This window comes from Homo sapiens, chromosome 1 (assembly GCF_000001405.40).
Source record: "Homo sapiens chromosome 1, GRCh38.p14 Primary Assembly".
Lineage (NCBI taxonomy): Eukaryota > Metazoa > Chordata > Mammalia > Primates > Hominidae > Homo > Homo sapiens.
The window spans coordinates 94,144,555-94,163,520 of NC_000001.11; the positions used below are offsets into that span (position 1 = coordinate 94,144,555).

Here is an 18,966-nt window from a genome sequence, read left to right on the forward strand (position 1 = left end):
GCAAGGAGACATTTCTGGGCAGATTCTATTGTATCTGGTTGGCAGGAGAAATAACAGATTCTGCTATTCATTTTTCGTAATACTAAATTAAAGGCTCAGCAAAAGTTTCCAGTATAAAAAGCAATGCTTTACTTTTTCAAAATTCTGATATATTTGAAACTACATACAAATTTACAAAGAAATTATCTAGAATATATATACTTTTTATTAAAAATATACAACTTTTAAAATTTAGGTTAGAGCTACAGATGACTAAGTCCTACATAAGACTTGTGTATGTTGTCCAGGAAAAATAAAAGACTAGACTAATATGCTGTGAACATACATATGAACATGTATCACATCCATGTTTAAATGAATTCCAGGCAGTCATATATTAAATGAAAAGAAATCAAAGGTTTGCAGTCTGGCTAATGAGAGGTTCTCTGAAGGGCATTCTGTGGAATGCATTTCTCTTGGCAAGTTGCTATGGTGGACTCAATTCAATTCTAAGCAGATTTCTTTAATCCTTGTTTCTAAGTGGGTCAGCACCATCTGATTTTAAGTATTATTGCAAGAGACATAGGCACGATGATTACTACAACCACCCTTCCCTGGAAAGTTGCTTTTCCTTTGATAATGCTTGGAAGACCCAATTCACACAAGTTGAAAAGTCTCAGGTAGGACCAGCACTGTCACAGGAGAGGGGACAAACCGAGTACAGCTGGTGGCTTTCAGATGATAAACATGCCAAAAATTCCATCGAGTTTTTTTTTTTTAATATGCTGCTTAGGAAAAATGCTTAAGTAGCTTACTATATTCTTTATATTGGTTCAGGAAGATTCCGTTGGATAATCTGAGGACATGGTCTTGAAGAGAATATTCAGAGTTGGGAGGATAAACATATCATTTGAAAATCAGAAAATCTAAACCAGTTAATTGTGTGGTTAGTCCTCACCAGAGACAATTATCAAGAGGAGGGCCGGGGAGACTGTTTCAAGATGGCTGCTTGGTGCTACTCGTCAACTTGGGACCCTATGTGTACACCAGCATTTTCCTGAGTTCTCTAATTGTTTGTAGTTTGTCAGTGATTCTCTTTGGGTTTTTATGTTTATTCATTTCCAAGTTTTTTTGCCTCTACATTCTTTCACTTGTTTAATGGTATTGGCTGATATTTCCAATACAGTGTTAAATAGTAAATTGTAGGAGCAGCGGGCATTCTTGTTACGTTTCTCTCTATCAGGATGCTGCCAGTGTTGTTTGCCCATTAAGGATGCTGCAAACTTTTTAGGCTGTGATGCATTCCATCCTCAGATAAAATTACATTTATAGATTTTATGTTTTGGGACCATCCATGCATTCCTGAAAAAAATTGCAGAGTTTACAAATGTAAGTGGCATGAGACCAACTGGGCCTAAGAAAGCCGAAGTACCAATTTCTCAAGTAAATAAACTAAAAAACGGAGGCTCTTATTTCATTTGCTTTTGGGATTTCTCGACTGAAAATTCACCACAGCAAACATACCTTATGCATCCCTGTATCCATAAATATTCATTGCCCAAATGTGCCCCGTTTGAAATATTTTCCAATGCCCTTAGGTCTTTTTAATTGGGTCTTCAAGTCATAAAGCCAGATTACCTGGAAGAGATCTCCAAGCCCTCAGACACTGTCTCTCACAGACGCCCTAAGCACCCCCATCAGGAAGACTTCTGGCAGTCGGCGGGCCCCTAGAGCTCTATGCGATTGCCCTTTTCCATCAGCTCCATCTCTCTCTGCCCGTTTGCAGTGAATCACCTTCCCAATTAGTGATTTCCACAGTAGGACAGCAGCATCTATTCTTGTTTATTGGGCTTCAGACACTGAGAAGTGTCTATAGGCTGAGGTTTATACAGAGGACAAGATGCCAGAGAAACCTCAAAGGCAGGATTTGTGACTCACCTGGGTATGCAGGTTGGGGGTATTGGGGAATAGGAAAGGGCGACTCGGCAAGAAGGAAGGAATGGCAGCAAGGAGTGAGGCTCCCACTGAGCTCTGCCAGTAAGGGGAGGCAGAGACATCAGTTTACCAGGTAATTCCATAATATTCTCTGGCTCGATGGTCTTATGTTAAAAGACATGTGAAGGTTTTTTTTTTTAAATTGTAAATCAACAATATCTATAAATTATAATGTATAATTGAATATGTTTATGAGTGCAACGTGATGCTATAATTTATGAATACCATGTGGAATAATTAAAGAAAACTAATTAACATATCCATCACCTCATGTGAAGGTATTTTAAAGTACATAAATACTAGCACCTATTATTTAATAGTAAGATAGTGATTAAGAGCCCTGACTTTGTAATTGGACAATTCTGTGTGTGAGTTCTGGCTCTGTCAATTACCAGTTGTGTGATCTTGGACAAGGGTCTTAATTAAGCCTTAGTTTTCTCTTTTGTAAAGCAGGGATAATACACCAACCTGTTTCTTAAGCTTGTTGTGCAGACAAAATGAGACAATGTAGGTAGAATGCACAGCACCACAGAAGCTTAGTAAATGTTAGTCACCATGATTTTCTCTTTAGCGTTCTACAAGCTAATAGGATTCTTTTTATATTTCACATTGTGAGGACTAAAAACAAGACCTCAGGGCAAAGAGGGCAGCTATTCATATCCCTCTAGTTCTTAATGCCATTTAGAACTCTAATACAACTTCCCATAACATGTATTTCATCTCACAGCCAAGGGAAATATGGCTCAGAATGTTGAGAACCAAGCATATGGCTCACAGACTCGAATAAAGTCTAAGAGGCCACGATTTCATAGGAGCCATGAGTCCCTGAAGTAGGTTGCAAACCTTATATATATGAATAGAATAATAGCTATGACATGGTCATACAAAGCAACATTTAGTACAAATGAATATAAAATGCATATGCATGTACTAATGTGGACAGTTAGGCTATTTTGGTCCATCTTACATTATGTTTTAGACGTATTAGTGAAAACCAAGAAGTGGGAATTCCTGTACATAAAATAGCAAGTGAAATATTTATCTCACAGTACGACTCATTCATCAAATCCAAGGATCAGCAAACTTTTTCTTTAAAGAGACAGAGGGTAAAGATGTCCCAACTCCTCAACTGTAATGTTGTAGCAGGAAAGCAATCAATCATAGACAATGTGTAGATGAATGAGCATGGTTGTGTTCTTAGTCAAAAATCATCCTAGGTAAAAATCATCCTATCAGTGATTCTTTTCAAGTTTTTAGTTTTATTTACAACTTTACAAAAACAGGTGGCAGGCCTGATTTGGCCCATGGGCCATAGTTTGCTGACCCCTGCTCTAAACCATATATCATACTCCAAATAACATGACTTACTGAATTATTCAGAAACAAGCTAAAGTAAATCTGGCTTCTGTACTAGTTAACAATTTGTGCACTATCCACAAATGAAGATACTTAGTTATATATTTATATACTTATGTGTGTTATATGTAATTGATATGTTATAAATATTTGATAATTTTTAAATGTTTTATATAACTGAAAAAGCTTAAAACTATTGTATTTATTTTTATGTCCATATTTTCAGTTGTTAGTTTTATATGGTGTTCTTTTTATAAAAAAATAAATACAGTTAAGCTGGTCTTTACATTGTGAGGTCCTAGGAAGTCATACTATTTGTAATATGGTTTAATAGTTTTAAAACAACAATAGTTCATCTCTCTTCCAATGTTTCTGTTTTGTTGAATGTACACTATAATTTTTTAATCTTCAATTCAGTTCTGAATTTATTTCACCGTTACATAAAATACTCAAGTTGTTAGCACTGAATTTGACTGGAAATTTATAATTTACATATGTCAAAGCCCAAGTCCTGAAAGACAAACTACCAACATATTCTGAGATTTTAACTAAACCACACGATTCAGAAAGAGCCTTAAATACATATTCTTTGTGCAATCCAGTTGATGATCACTAGTAAAAACTGGTAAAAATGAAAATTCTGGTATAAAAATATATAAATATAGATGGTAGGTTTTGGGTACTACAGAAAATATTGGAAAATGAAGCTGTTAATTGTCATTTGGAAAATAAAAGCTTATGTTTAACAGAAGACAACTGTTAAAAAAAAACACACAAAACCTGTCAGCTCTTTTACCACTCTATAATTTATATTGGAGAGATTTTTTTTTTTAACCATGATAGTCAGAAACACTGTTTTTCTACTTAAGCACTTGGTTCCACTATAGGAAGTGAAGCTGTTTCTTGCTGATTCCATCAAGCAGCTTGACAACTGTACTTTACTGAAGATAGATTCAAATAGATCATTTTATGGGAGCAGAAAATCAATAGAACTTAAAAAATTTTTAATTAGCATTTAGTATTTATAAATTCCAAAACACAAAATGTAATGATGTGCATATGGCTCAGAAGGAGCTGTCGACAAAAAGAGTCAAACTCTGCAAAATATTCAAAGAGATTTATTTTGAGCCAAATATGAGTGACCATGGCCCATGACACAGCCCTCAGGAGGTCCTTAGAACATGTGCCCAAGGTAGTTGGGGATGCAGCTTGGTTTTATACATTTTAGGGAGGTATGAGACATCAATCAAATACATTTAAGAAATACATTCGTTTGGTCTAGAAGGATGGGACAACTCAAAGCAGGGGCTTCCAGGCTACAGGTGAATTTAAATATTTTCTGATTGACAATTGGTTGAGTTTGTCTAAAGACCTGGGATTGATAGAAGGGAAAGGTTCAGGTTAAGATAAAAGATTGTGGAGACCAAGGTTCTTTTGAAGTCTTATAGTGGCTGCCCTTAGAGATAATAGTTGAAATGTTTCCTATTCAGATCTTTAAGAAGTGCTAGACTTTTAGTTAATCTCCTTAGGTTTGGGAGGGCCTGGAAGAAAAAGATCTAGTTATGTTAATAGAGATTCTTTACAGAGGCAAATTTTCCCCCACAAAAGACAGCTTTGCAGGGCCATTTCAAGATATGGCAAATAAACATGTTTTGGGGTAAAATATTTTGATTTTCTTCCTTGTCTGATAATGTTATGCCAGAGTCAGGTTGGCAAGTAAGTCATGATATATAGGGTTAAATAAAACCCATCTGATGAGAATTTATGGTTTGTAGTGCATGACTCCCCAGACCCCTTAGATAGGAATTTGGACAAGATTAAAAAAAATCAGAGCTTAGTCCTCAGAGTTCAAGAGGCTTATAAAATGCCATTGCATGTTTGGGCTACAATGATCTCAGTACTCTGAAAGCAGTACAAGAATTTGGAGCTGAGCAAGATCTAGATTTTTACTGAATTTTTTTTGAGACATCTTGATCCAAGGCTAAAAACCTGGTGTCTTCTGAAAAAAGAATGAAATGTCAATTAATTTTTTACAAACTTGAAGGGAATTTAATTAATAGCCAGTGTGACTGAGTTCATAGATGCATAATCTTGTAAATCAATAAAGAGCTCACTAAAATATGCTGAGTGAGAGATAGAAGCAAAGTGCTTAGAACAGTACCGGACCTAATGAGCTCTCAATACAGGTAGCTATGTTATTAAGATTAGCATTTCTTGTAGTGTACACCATGTCATGGGATAACAGAAAAATCACAGGCTTAAAAGTCAGACTGGCCTAGGTTCACATCCTGACCAATCCAAATTACTTAACCTTCCTTGGATAGTTTCACCATGGGCAAAATGGAAATATTCTGGATTCTTTGGAATAACACTTGCAAAACTTGTCTTAATTTTCATTTCCCCTATTTCTGCCATTACTCTCATTAGGAGGTCTTGTAAGAAGTCATCTACATACAGGCACACTTACAGGTTTAGTCTTTACGTTTGCCTTTTGAGTATAGAACTCGAATTGGGCCAGCTTCCCAAATGGGTTTCAGAGAAGTAGATTAGTAATTTTTCCCAGACATTTTTTCATTTGGGGGAGGAATGATGTTTTGAGCTCTTGGTCTTCGAATAGGAATATAACGTCACCTGAAAAAAAAAAAACAAAAAACAAAAAAACAAAAGAAATAAAGAAAGGGTTGTCACTTTATGTACCAAAACCAAATTTGTGTGACACTTAAAAAGAAAGCCTTCACGCCTGTAATCCCAGCACTTTGGGAGGCCGAGGCGGGCGGATCACAAGGTCAGGAGATCGAGACCATCTTGGCTAACACGGTGAAACCCCGTCTCTAATAAAAATACGAAAAATTAGCCGGGCGCAGTGGCGGGCGCCTGTAGTCCCAGCTACTCGGGAGGCTGAGGCAGGAGAATGGCGTGAACCTGGGAGGCGGAGCTTGCAGTGAGCCGAGATTGTGCCACTGCAATCCGGCCTGGGCTAAAGAGCGGGACTCCGTCTCAAAAAAAAAATAAAAAAATATAAAGAAAGCCTGACTGATTGGACAGATGAAATCATTTTCAAATGATAGGTTATATAATTTTTTTTCTTTTTTTTTTGAGATGGAGTCTCGCTCTGTCGCCCAGGCTGGAGTGCAGTGTCGTGATCTTGGCTCACTGCAAGCTCCGCCTCCCAGGTTCACGCCATTCTCCTGCCTCAGCCTCCTGAGTAGTTGGGACTACAGACGCCCACCATCACGCCCGGCTAATTTTTTTTTTTTTTTGTATTTTTAGTAAAGACGGGGTTTCACTGTGTTAGCCAGGATGGTCTCGATCTCCTGACCTCATGATCCGCCTGCCTTGGCCCCCCAAAGTGCTGGGATTACAGGTGTGAGCCACCACGCCTGGCCAGGTTATATAATTTTTTAAACAAATTATTCTCAGTCTAAAAGATACATGGGCATTAGTGAACACTTCTTTCTGCTTAGCAGAAAAAACCTGTTGACTTTTTGACAGAGGTACAGATCTCTGAAGTTACATTAAAACTACACTTTGAGGACCTTTTGTAGTTCATAAGTGTGATGATTCGGGTTTCACGCTCATATGTAAAATGTGCCTCCCTCAAACCTTGTTACAACATCAGCACATTGCCCATGTGACATGAGGAAAAAAGAGTACACTTTGTGTATATACATATGTGTGTGTGTGTGTGTGTATAAAAGAGTACACTTTGCGTGTATATGTGTATATATATATATATATGGTTGTGTGTATTTAAATTAGCATAATAACTTCAAACACAGTTAGTGTTTTAAAACTTGCAAAATCTGTTTATGAAAACTTTAGCATTTCCATAAGATAAATTCAAAGAAGTGAAGTAGCTGAGTCAAAGGACTGTCAAGATTTCAGTAGGCAAACACTGGAAAATTAACCTGAGAAAAGTGACACTAATTTACACACCAACCAAATGTAAGTGTGCCTTGAATCCCAAGGATTTTGCCAACTCAATTTGCTTTTGAGTTACACTCAACCCAGTGAGAGCATATCATATTAGATGCCTTAGATGCTCTCCGTATCTGATCAACTAATAAAGCATAATGTCCATTCTGTCAAACGAAGGCTGAATGCTTTTAAGTTTAAAATGCCATTTTTTCCCCATCTGCTCCCAGATTTTCTTTTTTTTTGAGACAGAGTTTTACTCTTGTTGCCTAGGCTGAAGTGCAATGGTGCGATCTCAGCTCACCACAAACTCCACCTCTCGGGTTCAAGCGATTCTCCTGCCTCAGCCTCCCGAGTAGTTGGGATTACAGGCGTGTGCCACCACGCCTGGCTAATTTTGTATTTTTAGTAGAGACAGGGTTTCTCCATGTTGGTCAGGCTGGTCTCGAACTTCCGACCTCAGATGATCCTCCCACCTCGGCCTCCAAAAGTGTTGGGATTACAGGTGTGAGCCAACCGCACTGGGCCTGCTCCCAGATTTTCTTTCTTCTCTAGTCTGAACCCATGGTCCATGTTTTCTCACTCAGAACCCTTGGTTCCTCAAACTCTATGATTTTTTGCTGTGTCTATCCTAAAAAATTCCATTCCAGGAATGTTCCAGTCCTCCACTCTCCTGCCTTCCTGTTCCCTGCTGAAAAACACCCAACAATTCCGTGCCTTGCCACTGTCCTGACTTTGAGCTGCAGCCGGCCCTGAGCACCAGGGCCCACCAGAGTCACTTTTCGGTCGTTGTCTCGCCTGACCTTCTTCCACACCTGGGACTGCTGGCCTCTCTTCCCTGGGTTCCAAGGCTATTTTGATTTGCTTTCCCAGGTCCTCCATACATTTGTAGACCATTCTAAGTGGCCCAGTTCCTTGCAGTTGGACTCTAAACACCAACGTATATTCTTAAATTTCTGAGGGAAAAACTTAGAGCATAATGGAGAAGAGCACAGACTCTGAAGCCTAGTTGCCCAGGTCCTGGCTCAGCCCTGCCTGCCACTTCTGCACTGGGCTAGGCAATCCCACTGCCCCATGTGTCTTCATCTGTGAAAAGAGACTCCTATGTGTATCTGTGTGATCTAAATGACCTACTGAGAAAAATGCTTAGATAATAAACACTAGAAAATGGCATTTATTATTATGATTCCTAATCAGGAGCCCTAGATCATGGGACAGCGAAATAAGATATAGAAATCAGACTGGGTTCAATCCTGATTGAACAATTGGGCATGATTTGGGCATATTATTTGGGCAACTAAGCTCAGCTTGTTGGACTATGTGTTGAATGGGGCTAATACTATTTTAGATACCAGAGTTATTATACAAAGTAAATAAGAAAAACAGAATGAAGCAGCTTGCACAATGTCCAGCATAGAGCAAGTAGGAAGTGATTGATTTTTAGTTGCCATTATTTTTAGACCTTGTGATTATTGGTACTAGATTGTAGATCAAAGATAACATACAGGGCTCTGTTTTGAAATGTACATTGGAATTTAGCTCTGCTGGTATGTAGAACTGCAGTGGCAGTGCAGCCTTTTTCACCAGCACCTAAGAATTCCTACAACTAGAAAAATTACCATACAGAAAAAAACAGTGAATAAAATGGCTACAGTTAATAAAGTAAAAAACACACATACACATATGTGCACATCATGAGCTGAAGGCAGGCCACTGTCAAGCCTCCCGAATTTCAGAAGTCTAGTTCAGCCCCTTTTGAGCACTTAGACCAATATACTTAACTGTTGAGCCAGAAGTTCAAAAGAATTTTAACTTTATGCAACACATCCTTTGCTTGGCTTTGCTTCATGGCAGAATTTATAGTCTCTTCTTTTAGGACTATGCTAATATACATCAGATAAATTAGTTTTGCTGGTTCTTCTTCTTCTTTTTTTTTTTTTTTTTTTTTTTGAGACAGAGTCTTGCTCTGTCGCCAGGCTGGAGTGCAGTGGCGTGATGTCAGCTCACTGCAACCTCTGCCTCCCAGGTTCAAGCGATTCTCCTGCCTCAGTCTCCCGAGTAGCTGGGACAATAGGCATGCATCACCATGCCCAGCTAATTTTTTGTGTTTTAGTAGAAATGGGGTTTCACCATGTTGGTCAGGCTGGTCTCGAACTCCTGACCTCATGTGATCCACCCGCCTCAGCCTCCCAAAGTACTGGGATTACAGGTGTGAGCCACCGTGCCTGGCTGCTTATTCTTTTACTTATATTTGTAACATTTGATTCATACATTGTCAACCCATATTTGTACACAACTGTTGGGATATTTTTAAGTCATTATGATGCCTTTGGTATATACACAGCAAAGTGGCCATTTTCTAAATTACACTATCTTCCTAAGATATCATGAGATGCTCTGACTCAAGTGGTTCAGTGAGAAAGTCATCTTCTGGTTTAAGGACATCCCCTTCTGTTCACAAACTGCTAAGATTTTTTTCTTTTTAAATGACGAATGGGCATTAAACTTTATCAAATACTTTTTGTTGTTGCTCCCCAGCTATAGGACCAGCTTCTGGATGTGACCCCTTCTTTCAATCAGCGCTGCCCAACAGAACTTCCTGCCATGATGGAAATGTTCTATGGCTGCACTGTCAAATATGGAAGCCACCAGCCACATGTGGCTATGGAGCACTTGGAATATCACTAGTGCAACTGAGGAACTAAACTTTAAATTGTATATAATGTTAACTCATTTAACATAAATAGTCACCTGTGGCTTCTGGCAGCTGTATCGGACAGCTCAGATCTAGATCAGCAGCAGAAGACATATTGTAGATGAAGTACACGGTAATTTTGTATTAAAGTCTCCTAAAAGAAAAACATGGATACAGCTCTTCTGATTATTCATTGTATTATTTTGGAAATGGGGAATGACAACATTTTCAGAATAATAAAAGTCATACTATTTTAGCTTTAATTTAAAATTGGCTTCTATTCTTGGACTTTTTATACAGGGAAATTCTGCTATTCATTCTCGGAAAAAAATGGTATGTAACCAAATCTGACTTTTCCAAATAAATCTGATAATTAACTCTCTGAGAGGACTCACTAACTGCCAGCTTCTGATAGTATTATGTTCTATGCTCTACAAGGACAGGGAGTGTTTTTTAATTGCTATTTTGTGTCTATTAGCTGGTATAGTGATGGCACATAGTAAGTTGTCATTAAATGTTTGTTGAATTAAGTTATAAATAAATGTATACAGTGCAACCCCTAACTTTATGTAAGACACAAAAATCTTTGAATATAACAACCCAATAGTAATATCACATTTATGTTTCTAGTAAGACAGGAGACTGGAAGCCAAGAACAACAGCCCAATGATCCTGGCAGGGAGTTGAGGTCACAGGATGTAAGCTATTTCAGCAAAGGACCCTTGTGTGTCAAAGCATTTTTGGATGCAGCCCAGCTGGGAATTAGGTTTATTTACTTCCTTTCCCCAAAAAGATTTTTCTTCACAATATGCTTAAAGGTGGTTTCTATGGTCTGAATGTGTCTCTCCAAAATGCATACATTGAAAGTTAATCCCCAATACGATAGTATTAAGAGGTGGGGCCTTTAGAAGTTGATTAGGCCATGAGGGCATCATCATCCCCACCAATGAGATTAATGCCCTTATAGAAGAGGCTTCACACAGCAATCAGCACCTTTTGTCCTTCTGCCTTTGACCATGTGAGGACATAGCATTCACCCTTCTGCCATGTGAGGACACAACAGCAAGGTGCCGTCTTGGAAGCAGACAACAAGCCCTTGCCAAACACCCAATCTGCTGGTGCCTTGATCTTGGACTTCTCAGCCTCCAGAACTGTGATATGCAAATTTCTGTTGTCTGTAAGTTATCCAGGCTGTGGTATTTTGTTATAGCAGCAAGAGCAGACTAAGACAGTGGTCACGTAGTTTTTGCTTTGAGTGTGTCCCTAATGACTGATAGATCACAAGGTCATGTGTTCCATTTTGAACTGTTCTAATTGTAAAATGAGTTCTTTTTATAAAGCAGAAATGTGCATCTCAATCTTAGCTTTTGATCGTATTTTTTCCTAAAGGAGCAAATAAATAGTCTAAGTTTAGTCCCTATTTGCTTGCAGTATTTGAGGACAGCTGTCATGTCCCCAATTTTCCTCTTTTCCAGGAGAGGCACCTCCAGTCTTCACCTATTCATCATGTGATTTGGTTTACAGATTCTGGCCCTTCCCTACCTTGTCCAACTCCAGCCTCACCTTTCCCAATTCTATATTCACAATAAGTCACTAAAATTTTGTTAATTATAGTTCCTCAACATTTCTTGAACAAGTTCTCAGTGCTCCATCATCACTGCCAACTGGTATATGTCTACATTCTTCTTAAATTACACATTTAATTATTACACGTTCTACTTCAAATGTAATCTGACCAATGACAACTTCAATGTAATTCCAAGGGAGCCTGGTAACATTAGGGAAGCTCTGAACAGTGCTGGACACATTATTTTATGAGGAGCCTTATCTGATAAAAGCTTAGCCCAAATAAGTTTATGAGCTTTAAAAAAAAAAAAAAATCCCTCTTCAGCATCAAATGTAACTTAAAAAAGAGGCAAGTGGTGAGGAAAGAAAAGCCCTATTCAAAGGATAACCAAAAGAATGTGTAACTTACACAACCCACTCAACTCCCTCATGCTAGAAAATTGTCTTTATCACATGAAGTCTTACAGGATCCCAAAATAATGTAGGGCTTTCTCTAGATTAGGCATTAATTTCTGGAGCTAGCTAGAACCATTTTGTTGTTACAAAGCTAATTACAAATATTCAGTTAAATATTTAGTCTCACATCTCCAGGGTGTCCCTTGAATGGTGCTAGTTTTGAAGGAGGCAACAAAGTCCGACAATCACAGTGCTGGGTGGAAAATTTTTCTAACTTTAAATTCAAGGCATTTATTTAAATGAATAAATTTCCATAATATGTAGCATGCATAGTATTTTTTTTTAAACACCTGAATTTTGAGGTGAGTTAAATCTGACAGTGTATTCTCCAAGAGATCTTTGGGACCCTTTGAGGAAGGATCCTATGAGGAAGGGATGTAGCCAGGTAGAATAGGACTGGAATAGTCTGTGGTATAAAGTGAAAAAGAGGCTGGGCGCGGTGGCTCACGCCTGTAATCCCAGCACTTTGGGAGGCCGAGGCGGGTGGATCACCTGAGGTCAGGAATTTCAGACCAGCCTGGCCAACATGGTGAAACCCTGTCTCTACTAAAAATACAAAAATCAGCTGAACATGGTGGCGCATGCCTGTAACCCTACTCGGGAGGCTGAGGCATGAGAATCGCTTGAACCCAGGAGGCGGAGGTTGCAGTGAGCTGAGATCACACCACTGTACTCCAGCCTGGGTGACAGAGTGAGGCTTTGTCTCAAAATAATAATAATAATAATAATAATAATAATAATAATAATAGTAATAATAATAAGTGAAGAAGAAAGAATGTCAAAGTAAAAAGTAACTTACAACAAAGAGATATAGTTCAGGTGCTACCTTCTCCTACTTGCTGTATGGCAAGTCTTTGAAGCCATTAAAAGAGAGTTCAAAACACCTACCCTGCCTTTCTGAGGATCATGAGACAGACTATATCAAAGTGCCCCAAAGCACATTTGTAAAATACTTAACAAGAATAAATAAGACTGGGTTAAATGTATACATCAACTTGGGAGAGAACTGCCATCTTTATAATACTGAACCTTTCAATCTACACAAATGATATATTATTCTATTTGGTTATTTAATTTTTGCCAAAAATATTTTGTGTATTTCAGATGTACATCTCTACGTTATCTCTCCTTAGATTTCCTAAGTATTTGATGTTTTGATGTTATTTTAAATAATATCATTTCATAAATTCCATTTCCTGTTTGGTGTTAATATATAAGTGACTTGTGAATACTGAATTTTAAGCATTTTTTTTTCTAAATTCACCTCCAATTCAAATTCTAATAGGTTATAAATGCTTTTAAATTTTCCATGTAATAATTATATTATTTGCAAACAATGACTATTTCACTTCTTCTTTTCCAATCTTTATGCCTTTCATTTCTTTTTCTTGCCTTATTTTATGGCTAGAATCTCTAGTACAATGTTGACTAGAAGTTGTAATTGTAGGTATTCTTGTGTGATTCCCAATCTCAGGGCCAAACCTTTAAATATTTTACCACTAAATAGTCTCCTGAAGAGTGTTTCTCTATCAGTTTAGGGAAGTCATATCTACAGTTTGCTAAGTGTATTTTTAAAAATCATACATAGCTGTTGAATTTTATAAAATCTTTTTTTAAATTTGCATTTATTTATTGAGATAGCTATACTTTTCTCCTTTTAAGAAAATTAATGTGGTAAATTATGTTGACTGATTTTTCAAATGTTAAACCACTTTTGCACACACAAAAAAGTCACCCACTTGGTAGTAATATACGGTTCTTTTAATATACTGAGAGTTGCTTTTCTGTATATTGTGATGTCTTTGTCAGGTTTTGGCATCAAGGTGAGGATGAACTTTTAGAGTCTGGAAGTATTCTCTTTTTTTATTTACTGGAAGAATTTGCTTAAGATTGGGGTAATGTGTTCCTTAAATGTTTGAAAGGATTCACTGGTGAGGCTTTACATTTTCCTTGTGGAAATGTCTTAAATAACTGATTCAATTTCCACTAGTAGATGGGGACTCTCCAGATTTTTTGTCAGTTTATTTTGTCCTTAATTTTGTTCTTATTCAAATTTTCAAATTGGTGTTAAGTTGTTCATTATATCATCATATCTTTCAATGTTTGTAGAGTCTCTAGTAATATTTTTTTCATTCCTGATGTTATTTTTCCTCTTCTTTGATTGATTAGTTTTACTGGGGGTTTATCAATTTTCTTAACCTTTTCAAAGAGTCAGTCCTTAGCTTTATTATTTTTCTTTAATTTTGTTTTGTTTTACTGGTTTCCGGGTTTCACCATGTTGGCCAGGTTGGTCTCGAACTCCTGACCTCAGGTGATCCACCCACCTCGGCCTCCCAAAGAGCTGGTATTACAGGCGTGAGCCACCACGCCCAGCCTCTTCTTGCTTCTTAAGATAAAGTTTAATTGATTTTAACCTTTCAACCTTCCAAGACATGTAGTGAAGGCTAAGAATCTCTCTCCAGGCATTGCTTTAGCTGCAGCCAATTTTTGATATGGCACGTCTTCACTACTGTTCAGTTTGAAATATTTTCTAGTGTCTGTTATTTCTTCTTTGATCCACAGATCATTTAGAAGTGTGTTCTGTTTAATCTCCAGGCAGTTGAGGATTTTTCTAGTTATCTTTTGTTACTGATTTCCAGCATAATTTCCCTAAGGTCAGAGAGCATATTTTGAATAATTTCAACCCTCTGAAATGTTTTGAGGCTTTCTGTATGGCCTGCTTATTGTCAATTTTGGTAAAATTTAAATATGAGCTTAAATGAGATATGAATTTTGTCACGGTTGACAGTGTTCTCTGTATGTCAGTTAGGTTAAGTTTGTTAACTGTGGTCTTGATTTTATTTTTGTCTCTTCAGAGGTGTGTTAAAGCAACCCTTATGATTATGGACTTGTCCATTTTTCCTTTTAGCTGTCTATTTTTGCCTTATATATTTTGAAATGATCTTATTTTGAATTTTGAAATCTTCTTCGTGGATTGACTTCTTTATCATTATGGAATATCTCTCTTTATCTCCAGTAATCCTCCTTGACTTAAAATCTGTGTTATCTGACATTAGTATGGCTATACCAGTTTTTTCATTGGTTCCAAGGTGTATCCTTTTCAATCCTTGCACTTCCTGTGCACCTTTATTTAAGGCGTGTCTGTTCTAGACAGGATGTAGGTAGATTTTGTTTTTTTCCTAGTCCAACAACAGTAGGTTAGTACTCAGAATGTTTGGTCAATTTTCATTTAATGTGATTACTAATTTAAGCAGGTTTATATCTACCATCCTACTATTTACTTTCTATTTAACCCACTGTTTCATTTATCCTTTTTTCTTCAATCTTGCCTTTCTTTGAATTACCCTAGTATTCTATTTTCCCGTCTTTTAACTTCTTTTTGATGTTACAAAACACATCTTGATAAATTTAATACAAATTATTGCTTTTACCACTTTCTTGATAGTGCTAGAACTTTATAATACTTTAACTCCAGCTTTTTGCCTTTTCCATTATGGCTGTCATGCATTTTAATTCTGCATAAATTTTATACTTCTCAATATTAGTATTGTTTTGTAACAGTTGATGTTCATTATATTTACCTTTTCTAGAGGTCGTCATCCTTTTCTTTCTTTCTGTTTTTTTTTTTTTTTTTTTGAGTTTTGCTCTTGTTGCCCAGGCTGAAATGCAATGGCATGATCTTGGCTCACTGCAACCTCCACCTCCTGGGTTCAAGCGATTCTCCTGCCTCAGCCTCCCAAGTAGCTGGGATTACAGGCATGCACCATCACGCCCAGCTAATTTTGCATTCATCCTTTTCTTCATTTCTGTATTTCCATCTGGGATTACTTTCCTTCTATCTAATGACCTCCCATCAGAATTTCAATTAATGTAAGGCTGTTGGTAACTAATTCTCCTTTCTGTCTGAAAACATCTGTATTTCACCTAAATTTCTGAAGGATATTTTTACTCTAGATAGAATTCTTTTCCCCCCCAGCACTCTAGAGAGGTCTCCTAGGTAATGGGGTTTAAATGCCTCCTTGCTGACATTCATAACAGTGACATAATAAAAATACTGCAATTGCTTAATGCAGTGATTTTAGATTTTCAGCACCTAGAAACATCTCTTTCATTTTAAATTCAAAGGCATAGACTCAGGCTCAGAACTTGAAAGATTGTACAGACCATCTATCTCAATTTCCTACCTAATAATAATCCTGGTAGATGGTTACTTAGTTTTTGACTTAACGCTTCCCAGTTTTGAGGGAATTCACCAAATCAGAAGATAATGTATCTAAAAACAGTCCTAATCATAAATGGCTTCCTTCTAGAATACTAAGGTTAAACCTGCCAACCTTTACCTCCTTCTGTCCAAAGGAGCAAGGAAGCCGGGAATCCTTGTTTTCACTTACACTATTTGTCCTCAGGTTTCCATGGTAAGCATCCCTTTCTCTACGCTTCCCAACTCCACATTCACAGTGAGTCACTAATCCCTGTCAATTGCGCTTCTAAAAATAAACTGGAATTTAGGTCATCATCCCCACAGAGGGTGGCTTAATGAAGGACCTATTTCTCACGTGGATTGCTGACCCTTTTCCTGATTATGAGCAGAAGCTAAGTGATCTCCTTCAAGCTCTATTCCATATGCTTATGTCTTCAACAGCTCTCCATCACAGCACTGTTTTCTAAACTGTTCTTCTGGGACAGAGGGTGGAGGGGTGGACTTGTTAATTCTGTCATCTGCTGTGTTGTTCTCTCATTAACAAAATTTAACCTACAAAACTCACTGCAACCCAGAACTTCAGCAATTTTAGACACAAAGGTTTTAATTAAATGAATAAACTTTTATACATACACACTAAAAGTTACATTGGAGTTGGGATGTGATAACCCTTAACTTCAATTTCCTTGCAACTAGAATGAAAAAATACAGTCTGAAAGTATATGATTTATAGCAGCTCTGACCTAAAAATGAAGATGAAGGAATTTAGAAGTGATACAGAATTTATAATAAAGACACCTGAGTTGAAGTCTTACCACCCTTTCTTATTAAGTATATGACCTATAGTAAGTTATTTAACTTCTTTGAAGTCTATTTGCTTGTCTGAAAAAGGCAGTTAAGAATACCTGCTGCATTAGTCGGGGTTCTCTAGAGGGACAGAACTAATAGGATATTAGGGAGTTCATTAAGTATTAACTTACACAATCACAGGGTCCCACAATAGGATGTCTGCAAGCTGAGGAGCAAGGAGAGCCAATCTGAGTCTCAAAACTGAAGAACTTGGAGTCTGATGTTCGAGAGCAGGAAGCATCCCGCACGGGACAAAGATGTAGGCTGGGAGGCTAGGCCAATCTCTCCTTTTCACATTTTTCTGCCTGCTTTTATTTGCTGGCAGCTGATTAGATGGTGTCCACTCAGATTAAGGGTGGGTCTGCCTTTTCCAGCCCACTGACTCAAATATTAATCTCCTTTGGCAACACCCTCACAGACACAGCCAGGATCAATATTTTGTATCCTTCAATCCAATCAAGTTGACACTCAGTATTAACCATCACAAGTCTACTGCTTGTCAACTTGAACCCATACACATCTCCTGAGATCATACATAATATTCAAATAAAGACAATAACAAGGTCATAATTACAATTCACATAATACAACTATCCTTCGTACAACCGGAAATGCACCAATCCCCAACCCAAACACTATTACATAAAGTTAACACTGCTTAAATGCTGATATGAAGTCAATAAATCTTCTGTCACATGATAAAGGGAAAGGTTTTTGTTTGTTTGTTTTTGAGACGGAGTCTCGCTCTGTCGCCCAGGCTGGAGTGCAGTGGCGCGATCTCGGCTCACTGCAAGCTCCGCCTCCCGGGTTCATGCCATTCTCCTGCCTCAGAATCCTGAGTAGCTGGGACTACAGGAGCCCGCCACCATGCCTGGCTAATTTTTTTGTATTTTCAGTAGAGATGGCGTTTCGCCGTGTTAGCCAGGATGGTCTTGATCTCCTGACCTGGTGATCCGCCCGCCTCAGCCTCCCAAACTGCTGGGATTATAGGTGGGAGCCACCACACCCAGCCAAAATAAAGATATTTTCTTAGTACAAGTGCATACATTCACAAACATGTTTTTAGCAAAAGAAGGAGGAAATACTCATGACAATTACAGCCTCCCTTCTACAGCTGGTCACATGGTCATAGCTGATGACTCTTTTTCTACTACCCATTCTGTATTCTCTTTGCTTTCAGCAAGCACCTCAGCAGGTTGTGTTTTTTTCCTGGTGGAGTGACCCAAACCGTCATTCCTGAGGGGTCTGAGCCATTTGTAGTCCTGCCTGGATTGGGCTGCTGTAGTTTCCTATTGACCTTAATCACAGAGCATGGTAATACTAATGGACGCCCTAATGGATCTCCTGTGTTCCATGCATACTCTTTCTTACTTCTGTTGTGGAGTAGTAGACTGATTTCATCTTGATAGTCCAGGTCAATCACCCCAGCCAACACTGCAACTCCTTTCTTAGCCTGTTGACTTAAAGGTAGGAGGAGCCCAAAGTGTCCAGTTGGCAATCTTAACTTCCAGTTTAATGAAATTGTTGTGTCTCCTGGTGGCAGCATTCCTCCCTCTGGAACTAAGACCTCTAGGCCAGCAGAACGTAATGTCGCGGGAAGAGGAAGCAAGAATTTTGCTAGTGGGTCACTAGGGGTGATGGTGAGTGGTGCCACTTGCACTTCCACCCCTTGATTCCTGGACCCGTGAATCGTGGCTATAGGAGAAAGAGTACCATATATTGGATGCTGATTCAGAGCACACACGGCCTTCTGGAGAACTTTGCCCCAGCCCTGCAAAGTATTGTCACCTAGTTGGCATTTTAATTGTGACTTCAAAAGGCCATTCCGTCATTCTATCAATCCAGCTACTTCAGGATGATGGGGAACATGATAAGACCAGTGAATTCCAGGAGCATGAGCCCACTGCCACTCTTCTTTAGCTGTAAAGTGAGTGCCTTGGTCAGAGGCAATGCT

General features: G+C 38.2%; 1 long non-coding RNA gene, 1 other non-coding gene and 1 pseudogene across 4 annotated transcripts, besides 1 other annotated feature; 2 read left to right on the top strand and 1 right to left on the bottom strand.

The window, feature by feature from the left end:
• Positions 1 to 264: 264 nt before the first annotated feature.
• LOC105378858 (uncharacterized) lies at positions 265 to 17,297 on the bottom strand. Of its 3 annotated transcripts, none has more exons than XR_947605.4 (4): positions 17,144 to 17,174; positions 9,997 to 10,094; positions 5,798 to 5,961; positions 265 to 1,341 (listed from the first exon to the last, which is right to left on the bottom strand). It is a non-coding gene; the product is annotated as an uncharacterized LOC105378858 (long non-coding RNA). The 3 variants fall into 3 exon arrangements; XR_947604.2 differs by lacking the exon at positions 265 to 1,341 and adding an exon at positions 5,103 to 5,329; XR_947603.3 differs by lacking the exon at positions 265 to 1,341 and having other exon boundaries at positions 4,429 to 5,961; positions 17,144 to 17,297.
• Positions 6,184 to 6,526, top strand: RN7SL440P (RNA, 7SL, cytoplasmic 440, pseudogene; annotated as a pseudogene).
• Positions 6,864 to 6,967, top strand: LOC124904821 (small nucleolar RNA U13). The gene has a single exon (XR_007067417.1). It is a non-coding gene; the product is annotated as a small nucleolar RNA U13 (small nucleolar RNA).
• Positions 10,459 to 10,753: a silencer, noted in NCBI's record as "tiled region #7015; HepG2 Repressive non-DNase unmatched - State 22:ReprW". NCBI's record gives its function as "represses a minimal TATA promoter and a strong SV40 promoter by Sharpr-MPRA in HepG2 cells {active_cell/tissue: HepG2}" and the evidence as "EXISTENCE:reporter gene assay evidence [ECO:0000049][PMID:27701403]".
• Positions 17,298 to 18,966: the final 1,669 nt, after the last annotated feature.